The sequence below is a fragment of the Homo sapiens genome, chromosome 9, assembly GCF_000001405.40.
Source record: "Homo sapiens chromosome 9, GRCh38.p14 Primary Assembly".
Taxonomy (NCBI): Eukaryota; Metazoa; Chordata; class Mammalia; order Primates; family Hominidae; genus Homo; species Homo sapiens.
Genome location: NC_000009.12, coordinates 31,879,448 through 31,898,982, shown reverse-complemented (window position 1 = coordinate 31,898,982; position 19,535 = coordinate 31,879,448). Strand labels below are relative to the sequence as shown.

Here is a 19,535-nt window from a genome sequence, read left to right as displayed (position 1 = left end):
GTGTGATGATTCCTCAAGGATCCAGAACTAGAAATACCATTTGACCCAGCAGTCCCATTACTGGCTATATACCCAAAGGATTATAAATCATTCTACTATAAAGACACATACACACATATGTTTATTGCAGCACTACTCACAATAGCAAAGACTTGGAACCAATCCAAATGTCCATCAATAATAGACTGGATAAAGAAAATGTAGCACATATACACCATGGAATACTATGCAGCCATAAAAAAGGATGACTTTATGTCCTTTGCAGGGACACGGATGAAGCTGGAAACCATCATTCTCAGCAAACTATCACAAGAACAGAAAACCAAACACCACATGTTCTCACTCATAAGCGGGAGTTGAACAATGAGAACACATGGACATGGGGCGGGGGAACATCACACATGGTGGCCTGTCAGGAGGTGGGGAGGTAGGAGAGCGATAGCATTAGGAGAAATACCTAATGTAGGTGACGGGTTGATGGGTGCAGCAAACCACCATGGCATGTGTATACCTATGTAACAAACCTGCACATTCTGCACATGTACCCCAGAACTTAAAGTAAAATTTAAAAAAGATTTAAGTGAACCCAGTAATAACTATTATAATTTATTGAATATGTGCTATTAGTGTAGTACTATGCTGAGTTTAACATATGATCCTATTGAACTTTTACAAAAAGACTCTGAACTGAGTCTTAGAAAAGTTGGGCAACTGACTGAGGTCATTTTGTTGGCCAGTAGCAGAGCCGAGATCTAACCTCAGGTTTATATTACCTCCTGAGCCAAGGCTCTAAACCTGCGGTTTCATATAGAAATATCTTTGAGGGATGCTTCACAGAGATGGCTGTATCTTCCTATACACAGTATATGAAGGTCATACCATTGTGTATTTACTCACTCACTCACTAACTCACCTTACAAACTATTTAAGGAGGGCTCACCATTTCACAAGCACTAAGTATCATTTGTAACTTCATTCAATGTTGAAGTTCCTGCTTTACTGTTGCATAAGGAGGCAATTCAAATGACTTGAAAAGGGTTTGAACATTTTCTCTTTGGGACATGAGAGAAGTCTTTTGTACAGAGGCTTCAAAATTTAAGGTTCTTTTCCTGGGGAAGGAGCATAACAGATATGAGAGTTTACTGTAAGACTTACTGAGTCTGGAATACTCTGAAGCTTGAGCCCTATCAGAGAAAGTTCTACTCACAGAAGGCTGGAGATTTCCAAGAAAACAAAACAAAACAATGTGTAAACATGAAGATGGAAGTTTTGTGGCTGTGATGTGATTACTCACAAAAGTGTGGGTGCAGCAGCCTAAGGCGTTGCAGAAGTTGGGGATATTCACTCTCCTCTCAGGTCCCATGCTATCTGCACTGGGGAATCATGGAGGGTGATAAATGTGGTAAGAGAGAAGTTGAAACAAAGAGCTAAAACCAGACGACTTGGCCAGATGCCCACTCCAGATCTCTAATTGTGTCTTTAACAGGAAAAATAAAATTGTATATTTACTATATCATAAATCTGAAGAAGAAATGTTTATAAATTCTGCCCCCAACCTCTTTTTTCCCGTTAGAAAGATTCAGTGTTTCCGAGTATGTAGCGTATTGATCAAGGTTTTAGCCATATGGTTTCCCAAGAACTCTAAGGAAATACACCTGTAAAGGTAAAAGAAAGTAGTAACATTAGAGAAAATAATACAGAGGGAGAAATTACATGTGTGTTTTAGCATCTCATAACCCCATTAAATACTTCATTGATTTAGATTGTCCATCCCTATAAACTCTTAAACGAAAACTTATCAAACATATTCAGATATTTGTAACTTTTCAAAATCTCAATACTAATATTGTTTGTCCACCTTTTACAAAATAACTTCATTTATATTAAAGAGATTTTATATGTTTACTGTGAAAAAATTAAGGTCAAGGACAGATTTATAAAAGATAAGGAAGAGACTTCTCTACATTCTAGCCAACAATTCGCCATTTTGGATAATAAATCCAAAAAGCAACACAGTTGTTTTCTAGTTTATGGGTGATAATTAAATTTATCTCACCTGCTAGTGAAGCTTCACTCTTTTCAATTATTTATAGTCCTTTTGCATTTCATATATGCAAACTGTCAGTTTTATTGATCAAGATGATTGTGTGGATTTTTTTACCCTTTGACTTGATAGATTTCCTCATTTTGAACCATCTTTCTATACCCATTGACTATTTATGTCATGTATATTGTGCTAGGTGCTAAAGATTCAATGGTGCATATTCATTCTATCAGTAAATCTTAGTTCTTGGAACAAAATCTATCCCAAATCAGACCACGTCTCACCATCTCCACTACTAAAAGCATAGTGTAAAGCACCATCATCTGTTGCTTAAGCTACTGCAGTAGTCTCCCAACCAGTCTCCCTCCTTCACTCTTGTTTATTTGGTGATGGACCAACCATCAGAATGGGTAATAATAAAATTACATTTCCCAAAGGAAATGATCCCAATCTTTATCCCATTCCTATTTTACTCATACGAAAATTTACTCATCTCTAAAAGCCTTGCCTTCCCAGAAAAATAGAGAGAAGGTAGAGGTATAAATAAGAGATTCCACCATACCTTTTATCTAGGGTAGTGTATCTACCCTGGAGATTTACACAAAATGGGCAAGTCCGGTGCCTTTTCCCTGAGAAATTCTGTTCTAAGTTGAAGGACTATGGTTGACTCACATAGGAAAGTGCTGTCCAATTTTCTCAGTAAAACCTTCTGCTACTTTAGGTTACATAGGAACACATGTTTAATAATGATAATGATAATAATTTACAAGGAGACCTTAGCCTCTCATAGATACCACGGAATTACAAATGTTCTCATTGATGATAAATAGCACTAATTAAGATGCTTTTCTCTCTTAACATAAAATATAATGATTTATATCCCAATAAAGCAAGAATACTCAATTCCCTGGGATACTTGCATGAGATTTCTGAAATCTTTAATGCCTTTCCCTCTTGTTCTATTCACCTCAGAATTGTTTTTGTTTTCATTTTACTTATAGAGGTTTCTACTCAAGTTAGTTTTCATCTCAATGAACCTACTTCATTTTTTTTCAGACTTGCCAAGCTGCTACTGTTAGGTTTGCTCATATGAATCCTATGGAGTCAGAATGACTGCTGTGTTAAAAATGATTGCATTCAAACATATCCATGGTGCAAAAGTTCTCATATATATATATAGAAGGTAGGCTGTTATATACCATTAAGGTGACTAGAGCAGCCTTCTTACCTTTCTGTTATGTTACCTTCCTGAATATAGGTGAATAGAGTAAGTACAGAATACTACACTCATGCTTGCTTCTGCAGATGTTTCCTTTCTGCATATGCTCAGCTTTAGATGTCACATTACTTACACTCAGATATCTTAAATAGCAAATAACTTTCTTTCAGTGTCAGCAAAAATTTTTAATAGTCTTCTTAACTACAGAATTCAAAAAGTATCACCTTCCAGGAATTTAAGTTCAAATAAAGTAAAATTACTAGTCTTGTGTTTAAAATAAAATGAAAAGTCTCTTAGCTTTTTGAGTATAGTTCATTGAGACAGCATCCTTTCACTGGATGTTGTGGAATTCATACTTGCTAAAAATGTAGTTGCTCCCAGGGTTTGTTGCAAATATTTAGACAGTTTGCCTGCACTTATTAGCATGTACCCCTGATGAAAAGGGGAAGGCTAGGCTTGAAAAGACAGGGTTAAACCGAGTTGAATCAAAATGACATTGTAAGAAGCATCACATTTTGCTCTTTAGCATGAGGAAAAATTCATAAGTTGAGTGCCTATGCAGTTAAATAAATCTAAACTAATTGTAATCACCATACTATACTCATATTACCACTGAAGACGTCAAGTTTAGTTTCACAAATTTAGAGTGCTGGGATCCTTTCAGAGAAGCCCACAAACCAACAGTGCTTATTTGACAGTAAGTCATTAGAGGTCTACTGGTCATTTAAAAGTAGAGGTATTTTTCATTTGCATAGCTGTCTGGGTATGCTGCTCCAGTAATATACCGCCTGGGTGATTGCATTTGCAAATGTGTTAGAATATTCAGTTAACGTATGCCATCCTAAACATGGATGGGAGAAAAAGCCCAGGCTGTTTTTAAACCTAATAGATTTTGAAAACCTGGAATATAATTTGAAGCTGAAGCCTCCAGGGATGTGAGTTCTGCAATAGCCCGTTGCAAACAGTTTTTTCTTGCAGAACTACTCCATAAGAATAGCTGCAGTGCAAATATTGGCCTGTCAGAAAGTCAAAAACTGTGTCAAGAAGTGATTTCAAGGAAGTAGAATATGAGTTTAGTGTGAGGCTTAGAATCAGACAGACCTGATTTCTGATCTGGGATCCACTGTTTATTAGCCAGGCACATTTTTTAACCTTGCTGAGTCTCAGTGTTCTTATATGTAAAATGGGAAGATAGTGCCAGTTTCCTAAGGTTGTTTTAAAGATTAAATAAGATAATATGAACACAGCATGCTGTGCTCAACAAATGTTCCGGCTGCAACTGATTGTTGTTGCGATTGAAGCTACCTGGGTTTCCTTAAAGGCTATACATCTATAAATCATCTTCTGAGGTCTCAGAGAGGAACTTTTCTCTGCAATGGAAAAGTGTTGCCTGCATAATTATCTCTGTGGCAGAGCTCCTCCTACCAAGAGGAAGCAAGGAAGCACTGTTCCCCGGGATCAGGGTCATACTCAAGGCCATATGTTTGAACCTGAGCTCCCACTTTTCCTCTCCACAAGTGCTAGTACACGTTCCTGCTCTGCTGCAGGAACTTCCAGAGATAAGATGGTCCACTCCGTAGCAGAGAAGATTCCATGCCAAGTTGGCTGATCTCTGGAGGATAATGCTTGTATGTTACTCACACGGCCACCTTCCCAAAATGAAGCCTGTTTCAAGACAGCTGGGTTGGGTGGGCTCTCTTTTTCCTCTCTATTTCTGATACTCCTGCCTCTTCTCAGATTTAGTGCTAAGCCAGTCTACAAGACAGTATTTTCTGATACCAAGTAAAATTTTAGTTCAGGGACTCTGTTGTCCTTACCTGCTGCTTAGCATTGGTTAGCATCACACTGTCCTGCCTCAATACATTCTTCCTAACTTTAATCTTAGTGTCTCAGTTTCTTCCCTTCCAGGAGGACCCTGGGCTCCAAATGCAAATTGGTATACCCTCTGTCCAGAACTGTGCACATCAAGATAGAAAAGCTGTTTTACAAAGACATAGAAAATGGGCTCCAAGTTGACATTCTGAATCAACCTCTATTATATGTTGAAACCTCTAGCATAATTTTCATGTTCTAATTCATCAGTCATCCTTCTACATTATTTCACCTAATTGCCAAATAAGCATTATGTGTGGGAAATATTATCATCTCTATTTCATATGTAAGGAAGTTGAACCATAGTTCAGTTACATGCCTAAGGTCATCTAACTAATAATTGAGAGAGCTAGGAGCTAAGCTCAGTTATTATAAATCCAGCAATTATTCTTCAGAAACACAGAAACCTATTTTTTCTTTGGTCATTTTAAAGTAGTAGTCTATACATAAGAAATACACTTGCCTATTTTTTATTAGATCATTTTAAGATAACTTTTTAAAAGCAGACTGCATTGCTGAAACAGCTATGTATCAACATTAATTGAATATAAAATAAAGTGATTTGAATAGATTGAGTATCCCTAATCGGAAAATCCAAAATCTGAAATGCTTAAATGAGCATTTTCTTTGAGCATCATATCAGAAGGTTTCAGAGTTTTGAACATTTTCAATTTTGGATTTTCAGATTAGGGCTGCTGAATATAATGCAGATATCCCTAAATCTGAAAAAAAAAAAAATCCAAAGTTCAAAACACTTCTAGTGCCAAAAATTTCAAATAAGGGATACTCAACCAGTATTACTACAGACAAATTTGAAGAAATAATATCACAATACTTATTCCCATCAAGCACTACTTAATGTAAGCCTAATGTTCTTTCTTCTGCTTAAGAATTACTTGCTCCAAACTTCTGGTGCTTCTTATGCCAGAGTCCGGGACTCACTCTGCTTGGATATCAAGCAGTCTTCTAAATGCTTCCCCTGGCCTCAATGTTCTCCATCTGCCATAAGCTTGCAAATGACAGACTTATGGGTTTAGAGCTAATAAGAAAAAAATGTCATTTTTAGCTTTCCTGTTTTGCTGATCAATACAACATACTAGAAAGAATATAAATTTGCAGCCTGACAGATATGGGTTCATAATTTACTCTTCACAAACTCTGACACATTACTTAAATTCTTTGAGTCTAGTTTTCTCATTTGTAAAAATGATTAAGGTAAGTCACTCAACTGAAAACTTACTGTTCTAGAAATGAAACACTTGCCTGTTTGACTCCAAGGCCAGTGCTCAGTCCACCAGACCATGCTGCCGCTGGGGATTTCTCTCTGGCTCTTGTGTTCTAATTTTCAAAAATAAAGTTATGAGGTGGCAATTAAAAGTCCGCCACAGCCTTTGTCCTGGGAATCATGGCCCTTTAAATGTCTCAGATCAAGAATTCTACTTCTTGATTTGGAGTATGAAATATTGAATATGCATGTTTTCTTTGTGAAAGGAGTCACATATATCCTCAGAATTTCAAAGGAATCCTTGCCAAAAAATATTAAGAATAATTTCCTTGTAATCTAAAATATTTCCTGACTTTCAATAGTGAATAACGTATGCCTGACAGGGGAAGCTCCTTGTAGTTCTTGGTTTTGGTGCTAGTATCCCATGACCCTGATATCCTGATAACCTGCTGTAAATCAACACACATTTACAGTCTGGAGACTGTCCCAAAACACTCATCCCAACACTCCTGACCAGTCGATATTATACCAGCAATATCCCTTTTCAAGGTTCCACACATATGAATGAACAATTCAAGGATTTGTAAATAATAGAGAGAAAAGATGTGTGGTATAAAGGGAAAGCTATTCAAAACCTAGTGCAACTTAATAAAGACATTGATAAAGTAGAAAAAACCCTCCCATGCTTCATTTTTGGATGCAGAGTCATTGCTTTAAAAGAACAAGGTAGGCCAGGCATGGTGGCTCATGCCTGTAATCCCAGCACTTTGGGAGGCTGAGGCAGGCAGATCACCTGAGGTCAGGAGTTCAAGACCAGCCTGGCCAACATGGTAGAACCCCATCTCTACTAAAAATACAAAAATTAGCCTGGTGTGGTGGCGGGCACCTGTAATCCAAGCTACTCAGGAGGATGAGACAGGAGAATCGCTTAAACCCAGCAGGCGGTTGCAGTGAGCTGAGATCAGGCCACTGCACTCCAGCCTGGGCGACGCAGTGAGACTCCGCTTAAAAAAAAAAAAAAAAAAGAGCAAGGTAGACAACAGGGCAGATTAGGGAGATGGAAATGGTGATCCTGCAGATTGCTGAAGGGAGGTACCATTGGCTATGTTCCTGCCCTTTCTAGAGCTGGGAATATTTATATCTACTTTAATGTCCAGAGATGTCTGAGAACAACTGCTTATCTCAGGACCTAACAATAATGTGTAGCTGCAAGTTATTTGTTTTCATGAATATCTTTAGTTTTGGTGTAGGGAGCAGTTTACACCTGTTACAGGGTATAGGGACATGTCTATTGACTGGCAACATCATGGAATTTCTGGAACAAATAAGAGAACAGTCTGTATTGGGAGAATGAGAAGTAAGCTATTTACAATAAAAATATATTGTAAACAGGGCAAGCACATTTCTTGGTACTTAAAGAACTGGGTAGTACATGCTTTTTCATTATGAATATAATAAAAGCTGCCCATCCCTGTTTACATTTATAGAGTTTTACTTTCTTCATAGCCTAACATAAATTTGCTCAAGCTATATAAAGAAAAATAAAGTAAAATATTCCTTTACTTGCACTAAAAAAGGGAACTAATGTTTAATGAGTGCCTATAACATGACGCACACTAGGAGGAAAAGACACAAAAATTCTTGAATCAGTCCTGTTGTTCTATGATGTTCAGAGTGGAAGTAACAAAAGAGGCTTAGAGAATTATGTGAGGTTCTCCTGTGACACACAGCCTTGTAAGTGGCAGAGCCAAGAGTCAAACCCAGCTCCCCTGACTCCCTGTCCAGTGAACCATCCATTACTTGACACTTGATAAAGAAGAATTCCAAGAGGAAGAAGATGTTACCTGTGGAATTGAATACAGGAATTCATGCTAGGCTAAGAAATGATCAGCACTTTAACGTGGAGCAAGTTTTACATAAAGCCCCTGCTTGAGTGTACCAAACTGAGTTTTAAAGGCATTCCTATTTTGATAGTGTACCCAACTGGAAAGTTCTTAAAGTGACACACTTTTCCACTGTAGGGTTAGCTAACATTATAAACAATAACTAATGAATACTTTATGAGCACAGTAACTAATTCAACATGACTATAGCAATAGGTTATTATGCTTTGTTATTACTCATTCATTCAACACCTCCTTATTGATAGATTTCTGTATCTAGATGCTGGGGAAACCATAGTGGCAAAAACAGACTTAGTAAAATCTATATCATTTAATGGATATGTGCATAATCATCTGAAATTTTTAAATTTTCTGATAGTTTAAATTATTTTTGAAGAGTTCAGTTCTCACTTCATATAGGCAGAGAAAGTAGCAGGGTGATGCTGTAGTACATCCCTCCCAATTTGAGCTCAAAAGACCAGAATAAATTTAAGACAGGGATATCTCCATCTATTCACTCTTTGGCATTATAGCTCATAGCGTTAATCAGGAATATGGGGATGAGGACATAGTAGAATCCAAACCAACAGTTCAAGTAAACAGAATGAGGGGATCCTGGACTTCCACTGTGTAATGCCCCATAGAAAAAGAACAATAAGTTAATACTTAATTGAATCAATGTTAATTGAAAAACCATAAGGGGAAGAGACTGTGACTTTTCCTTCACCAGTAACACTACTACTAAAACCCACTAGAAAAGTTGGATAGAGAATATTACAATCTGCATGTTTGAAAGTGCTTAAAGCATGTGTTAAGTTAAACTTGATATTCACCTACGTTTTTCCCTTTATAATATATGCCAATTTATAAGTGGTAATCTAGATACTAAGACACTGAGCAGTAACTGTTGGCAATCTCACAGAGCAGAGAAAGCAAAAATTGGAGTTTTGGGAAGGTCAACTAGAAGAAACCATAGAAAACAGTACAGGCTTTCAGCTGAGGCAAACAAAGGGGAATCCACAGGAATGTAGATAAACTAGAAATAGACTAGCACCCATCAAGAATGAAACCAAGCTTTAAATCAGCTCAATCCCAGACCGGATTAAGATTACCTGCCACTAGCTAACTGCCTGATAGAAACAAAACACAACTTCTCAAGCAAAGATGATCTCACCCAGAGCTTAAATTATCGCTGTAATTTTCTGAAATTTATAGTGCTCAGCATTTACGGGAAAATTACCCGGCATGCCAGGAGAAAAGAACAATTGGCAAAAAACCAAGAGAAAATAGAAACATATCCACAGAAGACTTTGATTGATTTTAAAATAACCATTATTAGCATGTCTAAGAAATTATATGACATAGTTTAGTATTTCATCAGATACCTGAATCACATAAAAAAAGAATTTAATGGAAGTTCCAGAAGAGAAAAAAATAATAAAAATTTAAGAGCTTCGGTTGGGTTCCAAGATGGCCAAATAGGAACAGCTCCAGTCTATAGCTCCCAGTGTGAGCGACAAGGACGACGGGTGATTTCCGCATTTCCAACTGAGGTACCAGGTTCATCTCACTGGGGCTTGTCAGACAGTGGGTGCAGTGCACCGAGCTTGAGCCAAAGCAGGGCGAGGCATCACCTAACCCGGTAAGTGCAAGGGGTCAGGGAATTCCCTTTCCTAGCCAAGCAAAGTGGTGACAGACGGCACCTGGAAAATCGGGTCACTCCCACCCTAATACGGCACTTTTCCAATGGTCTTAGCAAACGGCACATCAGGAGATTATATCCCACACCTGGCTCAGAGGGTCCCATGCCCACAGAGCCTCGCTCATTGCTAGCACAGCAGTTTGAGATCCAACTGCAAGGCGGCAGCAAGGCTGGGGGAGGGGCACCCACCATTGCAGAGGCTTGAGTAGGTAAACAAAGCAGCCAAGAAGATCGAACTGGGTGGAGTCCACCGCAGCTCAAGGAGGCCTGCCTGCCTCTGTAGACTCCGCCTCTAGGGGCAGGGCATAGCCGAACAAAAGGCAGCAGAAACCTCTGCAGACTTAAATGTCCCTGTCTGACAGCTTTGAAGAGACTAGTGGTTCTCCCAGCACAGAGTTTGAGATCTGAGAACAGACAGACTGCCTCCGCAAGTGGGTCCCTGATCCCCGAGTAGCCTAACTGGGAGGCACCCCCAAGTAGGGGCAGACTGACAGTTCATATGGCCAGGTACCCCTCTGAGACGAAACTTCCAGAGGAACGATCAGACAGTAACATTTGCGGTTCAGCAATATTCGCTGTTCTGCAGCCTCCGCTGCTGAGGCAGACAGGGTCTGGAGTGGACCTCCAGCAAACTCCAAGCGACCTACAGCTGAGGGTCCTGACTGTTAGAAGGAAACAACAAACAGAAAGCACATCCACACCAAAACCCCATCTGTACATCACCATCATCAAAGACCAAAGGTAGATAAAACCACACAGATGGGGAAAAAACAGAGCAGAAAAACTGAAAATTCTACAAATCAGAGTGCTTCTCCTCCTCCAAAGGAACGCAGCTCCTCACCAGCAATGGAACAAAGCTGGACGGAGAATTACTTTGACCAGTTGAGAGAAGAAGGCTTCAGATGATCAAACTTCTCTGAGCTAAAGGAGGAAGTTCGAACCCATGGCAAAGAAGTTAAAAACCTTGAAAAAAGATTAGACAAATGGCTAACTAGAATAACCAATGTAGAGAAGGCCTTAAATGAACTGATGGAGCTGGAAACCATGGCACGAGAACTAGGTGATGAATGCATAAACTTCAGTAGCCAATTTGATCAGCTGGAAGAAAGGGTATCAGTGATGGAAGATCAAATGAATGAAATGAAGCGAGAAGAGAAGTTTAGAGAAAAAAGAATAAAAAGAAACGAACAAAGCCTGCAAGAAATATGGGACTATGTGAAAAGACTAAATCTATGTCTGATTGGTGTACCTGAAAGTGGCAGGGAGAATGGAACCAAGTTGGAAAACACTCTGCAGGATATTATCCAGGGAAACTTCCCCAACCTAGCAAGGCAGGCCAACATTCAAATTCAGGAAATACAGAGAATGCCACAAAGATACTCCTCGAGAAGAGCGACTCCAAGACACATAATTGTCAGATTCACCAAAGTTGAAATGAAGGAAAAAATGTAAGGGCAGCCAGAGAGAAAGGTTGGGTTACCCACAAAGGGAAGCCCATCAGACTAACAGCTGATCTCTCAGCAGAAACACTACAAGCCAGAAGAGAGTGGGGGCCAATATTCAACATTCTTAAAGAAAAGACTTTTCAACCCAGAATTTCATATCCAGCCAAACTAAGCTTCATAAGTGAAGGAGAAATAAAATCCTTTACAGACAAACAAATGCTGAGAGATTTTGTCACCACCAGGCCTGCCCTAAAAGAGCTCCTGAAGGAAGCACTAAACGTGGAAAGGAACAACCGGTACCAGCCACTGCAAAATCATGCCAAATTGCAAAGACCATTGATGCTAGGAAGAAACTGCATCAACTAACGAGTAAAATAACCAGCTAACATCATAATGACAGGATCAAATTCACACATAACAATATTAACCTTAAAAGTAAATGCCTAAATGCCCCAATTAAAAGACAAAGACTGGCAAATTGGATAAAGAGGCAAGACCCATCAGTGTGCTGTATTCAGGAAACCCATCTCATATGCAGAGACACACATAGGCTCAAAATAAAGGAATGGAGGACGATCTACCAAGCAAATGGAAAACAAAAAAAGGCAGGGATTGCAATCCTAGTCTCTGATAAAACAGACTTTAAAACAACAAAGATCAAAAGAGACAAAGAAGGCCATTACATAATGGTAAAGGGATCAATACAACAAGAAGAGCTAACTATCCTAAATATATATGCACCCAATACAGGAGCACCCAGATTCATAAAGCAAGTCCTTAGAGACCTACAAAGAGACTTAGACTCCCACATAATAATAATGGGAGACTTTAACACCCCACTGTCAACATTAGACAGATGAACGAGACAAAAAGTTAACAAGGATATCCAGGAATTGAACTCAGCTCTGCACCAAGCAGACCTAATAGACATCTACAGAACTCTCCACTCCAAATGAACAGAATATACATTCTTCTCAGCACCACATCACACTTATTCCAAAATTGACCACATAGGTGGAAGTAAAGCACTCCTCAGCAAATGTAAAAGAACAGAAATTATAACAAACTGTCTCTCAGACCACAGTGCAATCAAACTAGAACTCAGGATTAAGAAATTCACTCAAAACCGCTCGGCTACATGGAAACTGAACAACCTGCTCCTGAATGACTACTGGGTACATAACAAAATGAAGGCAGAAATAAAGATGTTCTTTGAAACCAACAGGAACAAAGACACAACATACCAGAATCTCTAGGACACATTTAAAGCAGTGTGTAGAGGGAAATTTATAGCACTAAATGCCCACAAGAGAAAGCAGGAAAGATCTAAAATTAACACCCTAACATCACCATTAAAGGAACTAGAGAAGCAAGAGCAAACACATTCAAAAGCTAGCAGAAGGCAAGAAATAACTAAGATCAGGGCAGAATTGAAGGAGATAGAGACACAAAAAACCCTTCAAAAAAATCAATGAATCCAGGAGCTGGTTTTTTGAAAAGATCAACAAAATTGATAGACTGCTAGCAAGACTCATAAAGAAGAAAAGAGAGAAGAATCAAATAGACGCAATAAAAAATGATAAAGGGGAGATCACCACTGATCCCACAGAAATACAAACTACCATCACAGAATACTATAAGCACCTCTATGCAAATAAACTAGAAAATTTAGAAGAAATGGATAAATTCCTCGACAGATACACCCTCCCAAGACTAAACCAGGAAGAAGTTGAATCTCTGAATAGACCAATAACAGGCTCTGAAATTCAGGCAATAACTAATAGCCTACCAACCAAAAAAAGTTCAGGACCAGATGGATTCACAGCCAAATTCTACTAGAGGTAAAGGAGGAGCTGGTACCATTTTTTTTGAAACTATTCCAAATAATAGGAAAAGACAGACTCCTCCTTACCTCATTTTGTGAGGCCAGCATCATCCTGATATCAAAACCTGGCAAAGACACGACAAAAAAAGAGAATTTCAGGCCAATATCCCTGATGAACATCGATGCAAAAATCCTCAGTAAAATACTGGCAAACCGAATCCAGCAGCACCTGAAAAAGCTTATCCACCATGATCAAGTGGGCTTCATTTCTGGGATGCAAGGCTGGTTCAACATACGCAAATCAATAAACGTAATCCAGCATATAAACAGAACCAATGACGAAAACCGCATGATTATCTCAATAGATGCAGAAAAGGCCTTTGACAAAATTCAACAACCTTCATGCTAAAAACACTCAATAAATTAGGTATTAATGGGACGTATCTCAAAATAATAAGAGCTATCTATGACATACCCACAGCCAATATCATACTGAATGGGCAAAAACTGGAAGCATTCCCTTTGAAAACTGGCACAAGACAGGAATGCCCTCTCCCACCACTCCTATTCAACATAGTGTTGGAAGTTCTGGCCAGGGCAATCAGGCAAGAGAAAGAAATAAAGGGTATTCAGTTAGGAAAAGACGAAGTCAAATTGTCCCTGTTTGCACATGACATGATTGTATATCTAGAAAACCCCATTGTCTCAGCCCAAAATCTCCTTAAGCTGATAAGCAAATTCAGCAAAGTCTCAGGATACAAAATCAATGTGCAAAAATCACAAGCATTCTTACACACCAAGAACAGACAAACAGAGAGCCAAATCATGACTGAACTCCCATTCACACCTGCTTCAAAGAGAATAAAATACCTAGGAATCCAATTTATAAGGGATGTGAAGGATCTCTTCAAGGAGAACTACAAACCACTGCTCAATGAAATAAAAGAGGATACAAACAAGTGGAAGAACACTCCATGCTCATGGATAGGAAGAATCAATATCATGAAAATGGCCATACTGCCCAAGGTAATTTATAGATTCAATGCCATCCCCATCAAGCTACAAATGACTTTCTTCACAGAACTGGAAAAAACTACTTTAAAGTTCATATGGAACCAAAAAAGAGCCTGCATTGCCACGTCAATCCTAAGCCAAAAGAACAAAGCTGGGGGCATCACGCTACCTGACTTCAAACTATACTACAAGGCTACAGTAACCAAAACAGCATGGTACTGGTACTGAAACAGAGATACAGAACAATGGAACAGAACAGAGCCCTCAGAAATAATACCACACATCTACAACTATCCGATCTTTGACAAACCTGAGAAAAACAAGAAATGGGGAAAGGATTCCCTATTTAACAAATGGTGCTGGGGAAACTGGCTAGCCATATGTAGAGAGCTGAAACTGGATCCCTTCCTAACACCTTATACAAAAATTAATTCAAGATGGATTAAAGACTTAAATGTTAGACCTAAAACCATAAAAACCCTAGAAGAAAATCTAGGCAATACCATTCAGGACATAGGCATGGGCAAGGACTTCATGCCTAAAACACCAAAAGCAATGGCAACAAAAGCCAAAATTGACAAATGGGATCTAATTAAACTAAAGAGCTTCTGCACAGCAAAAGAAACTACCATCAGAGTGAACAGGCCACCTACAGAAGGGGAGAAAATATTCACAACCTACTCATCTGACAAAGAGCTAATATCCAGAATCTACAAAGAACTCAAACCAATTTACAAGAAAAAAACAACCCCATCAACAAGTGGGCAAAGGATATGAACAGACACTTCTCACAAGAAGACATTTATGCAGCCAAAAGACACATGAAAAAATGCTCATCATCACTGGCCATCAGAGAAATGCAAATCGAAACCACAATGAGATACCATCTCACACCAGTTAGAATGGTGGTCATTAAAAAGTCAGGAAATAACAGGTGCTGGAGAGGATGTGGAGAAATAGGAACAGTTTTACACTCTTGGTGGGACTTTAAACTAGTTCAACCATTGTGGAAGTCAGTGTGGCGATTCCTCAGGGGTCTAGAACTAGAAATACCATTTGACCCAGCCATCCCATACTGGATATATACCCAAAGGATTATAAATCATGCTGCTATAAAGACACATGCACACATATGTTTATTGTGGCACTATTCACAATAGCAAAGACTTGGAACGAACCCAAATGTCCAACAACGATAGACTGGATTAAGAAAACGTGGCACATATACACCATGGAATACTATGCAGCCATAAAATAGGATGAGTTCATGTCGTTTATAGGGATATGGATGAAGCTGGAAACCATCATTCGCAGCAAACTGTCACAAGGACACAAAACCAAACACCGCATGTTCTCACTCATAGGTGGGAATTAAACAATGAGAACACTTGGACACAGGAAGGCGAACATCACACACTGGGGCCTGTTGTGGGGTGGGGGGAGTGGGGAGGGATAGCATTAGGAGATATACCTAATGTAAATGACAAGTTAATGGGTGCAGCACACCAACATGGCACATGTATACATATGTAACAAACCTGCGCGTTGTGCACATGTACCCTAGAACTTAAAGTATAATAAACATATATATAAGGAAAAAAAAATTTAGGAGCTTCATACATTTTCTCTTGTGATGGAATGGCCCAAGACTCCTAAGAATATGTTCTTTATTATGTCCAACATTTGCATATGAAGGGATAATTACTACAAAGAATCTCAGAACCCTGTGGTAAGACCTTGCAAGGCCTGTTTGTCACATCCTAAAACAGCCTTACTCCACTCAACTTGACTACCTTTGACTCATCAGATCTGAAACTGTGAAACTGCTTTTGATGTCACAAATCTGAATTACATGATATATTCTCTATGCACTATAAACTTCTCTATGTTCTCTTACACTAACACACAGAACACTGTGTTCTCTAACACTTCTATGCTATGCTGTCATCGCACTATAAACTTTTCCTACATTTACAAAATATTTACTTATGTTAAAAATGTAAAGAAAAACTTTTACAAGATTGTATATATTCAAGTTGTACAATGTAGTGATGTTATATACATATAAATTGTTAAATGATTACCACAATCAAATTAATTAAGATATCCATCACTACCTATGTTGAGCCTTAGACAGCAGGAACTTTTAAATAGTATAACTGAATAAGCTTTCCCTACCTTACCATTTATCACATAGAACTTTAATTAATTAGTTATTTATCTTTATTTCCTACTAGACTCTGTTCCGTGACAGCAGACAACCGTCATGCTGAAGCTTTTCTGTTTAACACCTACCAAAATACCTGTTGTAAATTTGCCCCTGGGTTCAAATAAAGCATTCTGCCTCCAGCCTGATACTTCATAATTTGACCATGGGCTCCATTTTATTACAAAAGAGTACATATCCATGTCTAAGAGAAATTCTGAAAGGAGGCTTCCACTGTTCATAAGGCACTACTTTATTAAATATAAGGATGACAGATGATTTTGGTACATTTATTTTCTATGAAAGCATGTTGGATAATGACACAGATTTAAGTAGAATAAATTAAGCAAACACATATTAACATTTTTCATTTTTCAGAGTGAGGTCTAAGGACCAAGGTGATTCATGAGTCAAATGAGGTACTGGAACACTTTTACTGAAAAGTTCTTTGATTGTTCCGAAGCATCTGTATTTGTTCTCTCAGGGTTAGGAAATGTCACTTGAAGAAAATGCAGGTAATAATCACATCAGGGTAAATAGAGTATCCATTACCTCAAGCATTTATCATTTATTTGTGTTACAAACATTCCAAATATACTATTTTAGTTATTTAAAAATGATGGATACCCCATTTACCTTGATGTGTTATTACACATTGTATGCCTGCTTTAAAAATCTCATTTATCCTATGTATACACCTACTATGTACCCATAAAAATTAAAAATTAAAGAAAAGAAAATGCACGTAGGCATCTGAAGTTCAGCCTAGCGAAAAGGAAATAGAGCCAGGAGGAAGGGGGAGCTTAGCTTCAAGCTGTTCCCTTAGCTGAAACTGGACTAGGGGAAACGAGGTGGGAAAACTTCCTCTTGGCTACAGCTTTATCATATTCAGAGGAGAAAGCATAAAAAACAAGTTCTTTCATTGTCCCCCTACACACACCCCGCTTCCTATAGGGTGCTTAATCCATCGTATGGCTACTTTGTGCTATAGTGGGAAACTCTCACACATAAGCTTCAAGAAAATCCTGGCAGCATTTAGGAGGAGAGTGAGCGTGACCGAAGAGAATCCATCTACATAGTTTTCCCATGAATGCAAGGCCTACCTAGAGTTTTTGTGCAAGAATGAGTGGAAGGAATGTATAGCATGGAGTTTATTGTCTCTCAAAAATTACTATAATGAAAAAGGGGAAAGCTTCAGTGTGCATATATGTTCTTCTGGAAAGGTTTTACAACAAGCCAACCAACCACCCAGCAAACCTAAACAAAACTAAAAAATCTAGAATAAATAGATCCTGTTCTGTGCAATCAATAAAACTGTAAAACTAAATATAATATTAACTCTAATAAAAAAGATTGAAAAAGAATTCATACCAATGACAATAAAATAAAAAGGAAGATGACTGTAGTTAAGGAAGGTGAACTAATTATAACTTAAAAATAGAATTTTAAATAACACACACATGAATAAAGAAAAACCTATACCAAGTAAAATTACAGAAATGATGTGGAATATAAATTTGAGAGAGGTAAAAATAATATGAGAAGAGATTATATATATATACGGCAAACGGCATCAATGTATATATACAACATTAGGAGTCATGAAGAAGAGATAGCAAAAGGAAAACAAGAAAATGATCTAAGATGTATTGGAAGAAAGATTTTCTGATGTGAAGATAAATTTGCAAAGTTAAAATGGCTTGCAGTAGTCCCAGAAAAATTAAATAAGCAGGGCTCATACAAATATATATGTTAAATAATAATTATTATAATTAATCTAATCAATTATATGATAATTATAGCCAATAATTGTTAATTATAAAATGTTATTATTGATTACATGTTACTTATATAATTATGATAATTTATTATTAGTAATTAATAATTATTATTATTTTATTTAAAAAACCCAACTTATAAGCATTGAAGAGCACTGAGCCCCGTGGTCCCTCCCTCTATACCACAAAAAACAGTTTTATTAAAAGAAGAAATACTAGATCATCCTCAGTCAATTTACATCATTAAAAATAAGGAAATACCTAATGTAAATGATGAGTTGATGGGTGCAGCAAACCAACATGGCACATGTATACCTATGTAACAAATCTGCACTTTGTATACATGTACCCTAGAACTTAAAGTATAATTTAAAAAAAAAGGAAGGAGTAAAAAAATGTATCTATAGGGTTTTGAGAATAAAAAAGGTCTGTGGCTAGAAAGTGCTTTACCCAGTCAAATTGTCATTTATATATGAAAACAACAGCAATATAATGTTAAATACACAATTCTATGCTTCATATACAAATTACTAAACGTTGCATCTCAGGCAATGGGATGATGATTTAAAATAAGTTCTCAAGAATGGGAAAAGTTATCAATAAAAAAGAGTATCAGTGACTAGTACTTAAGTGAAAAATGTAATCTAAATTTAAATATAATTACAACTAAAAATCCAAATGCCGTAAGTCCTGAAAAAGAGTACACTAACATAATAACAAACATTAAAAACAAAAACAAATGAAAAATCTGAGACTGTATATCTCTCAACAAAACAACAGTTGAGAGAATAAAGATGTGAAGAAGTAACTTTGTTAATTCAGTTGATGCAGGTCAGAATAAATGCACTAATTTTTTTTTTGGTTAGTAATTTGAAAATATAATTCCAATGTTGAAAATGATAATATAACGGTACTAGCTACTATTATTACTTATTTTAATTTAATAATATGTGTAATAATTTCTTCATTTGTTATTAGGACATTAATTTTTTTTTTTTTTTTTTTTTGAGACGGAGTCTCGCTGTGTCACCCAGGCTGGAGTGCAGTGGCACAATCTCGGTTCACTGCAAGCTCTGCCTCCCAGGTTCACGCCATTCTCCTGCCTCAGCCTCCCGAGTAGCTGGGACTACAGGCACCCGCAACCACGCCTGGCTAATTTTTTTGTACTTTTAGTAGAGACGGGGTTTCACCGTGTTAGCCAGGATGGTCTTGATCTCCTGACCTCATGATCCGCCTGCCTCGGCCTCCCAAAGTGCTGGGATTACAGGCGTAAGTCATTGTGCCCGGCCTAGTACATTAATATTCTTTATTAATACAACATG

General features: G+C 37.8%; 2 long non-coding RNA genes across 2 annotated transcripts in view; one reads left to right on the top strand and one right to left on the bottom strand.

The window, feature by feature from the left end:
• LOC105376011 (uncharacterized) overlaps positions 1–16,933 on the top strand; it is a 36,289-nt gene extending 19,356 nt beyond the window's left edge. Inside the window, exon 9 of the long non-coding RNA XR_929543.3 lies at positions 16,467–16,933. This is a non-coding gene — a long non-coding RNA (uncharacterized LOC105376011). The remainder of the gene's footprint in view (positions 1–16,466) is intronic.
• The window catches only part of LOC124902137 (uncharacterized), a 137,318-nt gene that overhangs the window by 86,996 nt on the left and 30,787 nt on the right, over positions 1–19,535 (bottom strand). The gene's annotated exons all lie outside the window — the stretch shown is intronic.